Genomic DNA, 6,543 nt, shown 5'->3' on the forward strand with positions numbered 1-6,543 from the left:
CTCAAATGATGCCATCAGAACTTGATTTCTCTCCCTCTGTCTCTTGGCATTGCTTTTACTGGTTGGCTCCATTTCAAACAGGCTTTTTGCCTCTAGCTAGCAAAATTACTGCATAGCTGTAGACCTAACATCTTCCCAATTTCCAATCTAACAGGGAAAAAAAAACACATGAGATTTTGTCCCAGAAAAAGGCTCACTGCAACTTTAGTGTGGTCATGTGTCAATTTCTGAGACAATCACGATGTCATGTGTTGATTGAGTTGTATACTTTTCCACTGAATGAAGGTGAGAGCCACTCCCCTTTAATAATAAATTGAGATTAGATTGGGGTGAGCCCTCAAGGTTAGTACTTATTTTAAAATGTACTAGGGATTTTGTTTTTACCCTGTTATGGTGTGGGGCCAGCAGATCAGGGGGCAATTGCCATTGTCAAGAGTTTTGTTATTCATAGTTCCCAAGAGGAGGGACCATGTTGCATGCCATGTCATGCAGGACCACATGGGGAAGCACCAGGGTTGGGCAGGAGGTGGGAGTGAGGGGAAAGCTCATGTGAAACCTTTAGCCTTGGGTTTTAAGAGAAAGAATGGGCAAGGTAGTGTAAGCAGTTGGGCAGAATTAGGATTGCATGGTTTGAATCATTTGGGTGGCCTCTGGGTGAAAGGATAGTCCCTTGTTGCCTAGTACCTGGCCCTTGGGTGATTTAGGGCACAGGGATAGTGTCCTGGACTGCAAGAGCCTAATAAAAGGTGGTGGGTGGGGATTGGTTGGTTTGCGTATCACAGGGGTGCTCCAAGGCAAGTTTGCTGTCTCTAGGAATTAGCTACCCCCGGCATGGGCAGTCCCTCTCCAGGTCCACCAGACCCCAAGATGTTGAAGCATCATAAAACACAGAAAATAAAAAATATGATTAATACAGTGCTGGGTGGCAAAAAACAACGGATATCTATTACAAAGACTAAGGTCTAGTATTAGTATAAAGAAGCAATCTCATTCATTTAGCCATTCACTAGTTCATTCACTCATTCATTTTTTCATTCAACATTTTTTTAGGAGTGCATCATTCACCATTTATTAAAAATCTCCCATGTGCTAGACACTGAAGTAGGTGCAAGGAACGTAGAAGTGAACAAGCCAGACCTGGTTCCTGCTAATTAGAGCCATCAATCAAATAATTATACATATATATATCTCTATCTATCTACCTACCTATCTATCTATCGATGTTTTTTTTCTGTTGCCCCAGCTAGAGTGCAGTGGCATGAACATAGCTCACTGCAGCCTCAACCTCCAAGGTTCAAGTGATCCTCCTGCCTCAGCCTTCTGAATAGCTGGGACCACAGGCGCACACCACCACATCCAACTGATTTTTAAATTTTTTGTGGAGACTGGGTCTTGCTATGTTGCCCAGGCTGGTCTCCAACTCCTGGACTCAAGCTGTCCTCCCACCTTGGCCTCCCAAAGTGTTGGGATTACAGGAGTAAGCCACTGCACCCGGCCTAATAATTATAATTCTCAAGGACCTATTCCAAATGATGCGGGATCCAGTAATTCATTTTTAAAGGCTTTAGTTCATCTACTTGTTTTAGGCTATAGTGATTGTTGGGCCTGTCAGTATATTCTGGGCCTTTGGAGAAAAGATCTGATGCTCATAAATAAAAATGCTCCACAAATGAGGATGATTTTTTCATGACTTGTATGGCATTTTAGAGATTACAAGGTGCTTTAAGTATTCTCATTTACTCTTCACAATTCTTGTTAGATATAGATTATTATCATCTCATTTTACTGCTGGAGAAGCTGAGGCTTTAAGAAGTGAAGTGACTTGCCCAAAGATTTACTATCAGCAGGGGCCAAGCAGGGCTCAAAACCAAGTCCAGTTCTTTTTCCACTTTATTAGTATTTTCAATTGTGGGACCCCTGCCAGTGGCTCACAGAGCATCAAAATAGTGACCTCAATTAGTGAGAAATGTATCTCTATTTCATATCTCCCTCAATCATTTCAGCTCTGTCAAGGGCAAAGTCTCATATTTGTGCTAATATATCTTTAACACTTTTTCACTTGCTACCCTGTCTCTCTTTCTCTCCTTAGAAATCAAGAAAGCACAGGACTCTGGCTCAGAACTGTTGGCAGGCACAACTGAGAAGCTAGAATCTAATATCATTGTTTTGCTTTATTTATGACAAGCAATATTGGTTTTCCATTTATGGTAGAGATATTAAGTTTCCCTTTGAAATAAATGTATTTTTGAAGTTAAAACAGTGTTGATTGAAAACAAATACTAAATAAATAATAAGTAGCTTGTGGGTATGTGCAAGTCATGAAAACGGTACCCAAATTACTGCAATCTGGGAACACCTCATAGACCAAGCAAGTAGGAAGAGGCTCCTGGAAGGGAAAATGCAGATTCCTCTCCTTTCCTGTCTAGGGAGGAAAAAGGACTGGTTTAGGCCCTGCTCCAAATAAAAGACATGGTCACAATCCTCTAAGATGGTGCTTTTCAGGCCAAGGCCCAGAGACTGATGCCAATCCAAAGTGATATTTTCAAATCATTTGTGAGAAGAAAAAATAAGGACCGTGTATATGTCAGTGTAAGAAGGCCAACTATTCTTTCTTAGGTAAGAAGGTATTTTATTCTGAAACTCTCTTATTATTCATTTATTTTTGTATGAGTGCAAGTGTGTTATAATGCCCATTCTTTAGTAATTGGTTTATGATAATAGATGGCCATTGCTGATTGTGATTGTTCCAATAGCTTTACTTGGAAAAACAAATAGCTAGTGACCTTATCCTACCAAACCCCCCTCCTCCCTATTTTTTTCTATCAGTGAACTTCTGTTCTAGGAGACTTCAATTGCAGGAAACAGCTTGCCTTCTATTGCTAGAGGAAAAAGATATTGATAGGCCCAGCCTTATAACTGTGGTTACTAGCAATGCAAAACAGCAAGCCATAAATCCTTATTGAACTCAGGCACTGCTGTTTGCCATTGAAGAGATCTTTCTTTTCTCTCCAGTGTAACTAAATAAAGATGGGAGACCAGAGAAATAAGATAGCTGTTAAATTAAAGAGGAAAAACGTTCAAGTTTCAAGGAGGCTGTTACAAAAACAAATAAGCATATAAACCAACCAACCCCCAAACTCCTAGACCAATATCTATCTCTCAGTGACCTTGGACCATCTTAGCTGAGATGAGCAAACTGACAGCCCATTAAGAATGCCAGCCCCACTCCTCTTATTCTCTGATGATGGAAATGTAAACTGGTATATCAGGCTAACTCTTTGACCTAGCAATTCCTTTTTCACTAATTTGTCAGAGAAAATATCATAGTTGGGCACAAATAATTATTTGGTTATAAGGATCTCCATTAAAATAATCATTTACTGCATAGAAAAGCTAGACACAAATATCGAATGGCAAGGGGTTGGCCAGGTAAATCATAGCACATTGATACACTGGAATACTGTGTAAATATATGAAAATATATTGTAGAAAAATACTCAATATTATGCAAAATGGTAAGAACGTATTGTTAAATGAGACAAGTATAAAAAAGCAAAAGAATAAAATACATACAGAATATTGGATACAGTATGATTTAATTTTTATTTAAAAGATGTTGGATGGAGGATGGGAGGAGGGAGATGATAAGGAAAAATAACTAATGGATACTAGGTTTATTACCTGGGTGATGGAATAATCTGTACAACAAACCTCTATGACACAAGTTTACCTATGTAATAAACCTTCACTTGTACCCCTGAACTTAAAATAAAAGGTTAAAAAAGTGAGTCTTTTATAAACAGCAAAAAATAAAAAATAAAATAAAAAAGGCATAATACACAATAGGTCTGGGTGGTAAAATTATAAGTGAGTTCCATTTCCCTCTTTTTGTGTAAGGCTTTTTTTATGTCTGCAATGAAAACATGCTACTTTTACTTTAAGAAAAAAAGAGATTCCCTTTAAATTGGCCCCATTTAACCTGATTAAAATGGGTCAGCAACCCTATGCATAAGCTTAAAAGTGTGTATTTGTGGACTTGCATTTTGCAGTGCTGACGTGCTTCCCCTAGAACCGAAGGGAGACACGAAACCTCTCTGCAAACTCTTTGTAGATTCCCATCTGTGACTTGATAAATATTTGATGCAGTGGCCAGTCAACATCCCTACATTAGTGAAACTTCTGCCCAGGAGCAACTGCACAGCTCTCAGCAATGAGATCGGAGTAAGTTAAAAAGAGTGTATTCATTAGCCACTTCAAAGGGTTTGTTTTTTTTCAGCTGGAAATTTTGCAGGCTGTATTATTGGCCCCGCTGTCTACCGCATGACGACCAAAAAACATACTACTGCAAGGAGGAGCCTGCTTCTTCCCTTAACAACATTTTCTTTCCTTTGTGTTCACAGCCCGGGAGGCAAACGCACCATGAATCACCCTCCTGTCGTCCCTTTGGTTAAACAGCTGTGAATGTCTTAAGTGAGTTTAGGATCTGCCTGGTAACTTTAATGCCAAAAACCTGGAGTCTGGTCCCCGTAGGTTGTGTAGTTTTGTACAATGGGGATGGGCCACTTGTCCTCTCTGCATCTTCAAAGACTATAATTGATAATTAAAAGTCAGCCTTTTGTCCCTAAATATCCTGAATTGACAAGTAGAATGAATGAACAACGTGTAGCAGGGCAGAGAAGGGCTCTGGTGAAACCAGCTGAAATTAATCCTGAAGCTAGCTACAGTGGTTTTCAGGAGGACCTGAGTAAACTCCTACTCATTTTTCAAATCTTGATTTAAATATCACCTCTTCCTAGAAGGCTACCAAGATCCAAGCCTGGTGCCCCTCCACTGAGCTTCCATAACTTCTGTACTTCTGTGAGAGCCTGTAAGCTGTACTCGAACTACCTGCTTGTTTATGTCTCTCCCCAGCAAACTATGAGTTTTGGGAAGACTGTCCTCTCCACCACTGCCAGGCATCTGGCACTTATAAAAGTGCTGAATAAATATTTATTGAATTGAGTACATTTTTCCTGAAACTCATGCTTCAGAAGAGTAACAAAATTTCAGGACTATAGGGCATCAAATTTGAAAGTTTCCTCTTTTCATTGATTGAAGCCCACTGTCCCTGTTCCCGACCCATAGCCGTCAAAGCAAGCAGCTGTCTAGTCTGCTTGCACATTTCTAATGACAGACAGTTTACCTCCCTTTAAAACAGTCAAAGGTAGACTTTGAAATGACTAAGAAAGTTGAGTAAAATAAAAGACCAACAGGACAGGTCCTCTACCAAACTGGGAAGCAGGTAACCCAGGCGCCTTGTCACTTCTAGTTCCTCCCCTCTCATCATTATTGCAACTTCTTGAGGCCTTTATTCTCTTCCCCATTTTCTGCTGGGCCTTGCTCTCAGCTGAGGGTTAAGGAAACTCCACAGTGGTAGCCACTGACAGTAGTTTAAGGCTCTGCTTCACAAACCAGGAGTGTGTATGCCATGGAGTCCTTGAACTCCAAGATGAACATGGAGTCTATTGTGAAGCATCGTTTTTATTTGAAGAGCTAACATTTGTATGTTAAAAATATATGTAGTATGGAAAAGCATATAGGCATGATTTTAAATAGACAGCACAAGACTCAAAAGAAATTGATCAAAATCTTTTGGGCTGAGTCCTCAGACTCCTGGGGGTTAAGAATTCACTCTTGGTTTGATGGGTTACTTTGGTGGAAAATACAGGAGAAGTAACACTGGCTTAATATGCTGTCGTCTTATATCCCCTGGGGGCATTTGCATTTCCACTGGTTTCTTTTGGAGACTGAAAAGGCTTTAAAGCCAAGAGGAATCAATGCATAATGGTGGAGTTTCAGGCTGCATGAATTGGGGTAGAGGGACAGATATTATCCAGCAGAGGCATTGCATTTATAAAGAACATTTCCTAGTGATCTGTCAGCCTTTAACAGGCAGTCCCATTTCCGAGTAGGTATAGTAAATGTCCACTTGATTCTGCTTTGACAATGTTTGTGCAAGTAACTTTGCCCTTCTATGCCTCAGTTTCCTTAGCTCAGTATGAGAAATTAACTCATACAGGTGCCGTGAGCTACTGTATAAAAAGTACTTTGCTCAGTGCCCAACATATAATAAACATTAACTAAACAGCAGTTCTTACAAGCACTAATTATAAAATTAACATATGCTCAGTCAGACCTACCCCTAAATTTGTGGGCCTAGAGTTTGTTAACTTTTTTGTTAACAAACAAGCCAACAGACTGTTAAAAAAAAATGTGGTGTATCCTTCTACTTTTGAAACAAAGTTGAGAACTATTTTTCATATGACTGAATATCAGCAAATTTTAAAGTTGACTGATCTTTAATTTTCTGTACATAACTGGCAGTTCTGTTGTTTGGCTGATGTTTGGATGCGTAATAACAAAGGCATACATAATTCATACATGACTATATATTTGCTATATAAAAATTATTTTTTCTTGTCTTCATTTTAGCAAAATTACAGTTACGTTCTTCCAATCAGGATTTTTACATAATTTATGTTCAAAGATAGTAATGCCAAATTC

General features: G+C 39.3%; 2 annotated features.

Annotated features, from left to right (window-relative positions):
* Positions 2,701 to 2,995: a silencer, noted in NCBI's record as "tiled region #15640; HepG2 Repressive non-DNase unmatched - State 22:ReprW". NCBI's record gives its function as "represses a minimal TATA promoter and a strong SV40 promoter by Sharpr-MPRA in HepG2 cells {active_cell/tissue: HepG2}" and the evidence as "EXISTENCE:reporter gene assay evidence [ECO:0000049][PMID:27701403]".
* Positions 4,506 to 4,675: an enhancer, noted in NCBI's record as "experimental_81828 CRE fragment used in MPRA reporter constructs". NCBI's record gives its function as "activates a minimal promoter by MPRAs in K562 erythroleukemia cells, with activity observed for the introgressed 5:145789259 variant allele {active_cell/tissue: K562}" and the evidence as "EXISTENCE:reporter gene assay evidence [ECO:0000049][PMID:34662402]".

This window comes from Homo sapiens, chromosome 5 (genome assembly GCF_000001405.40).
Source record: "Homo sapiens chromosome 5, GRCh38.p14 Primary Assembly".
Classification (NCBI taxonomy): Eukaryota; Metazoa; Chordata; class Mammalia; order Primates; family Hominidae; genus Homo; species Homo sapiens.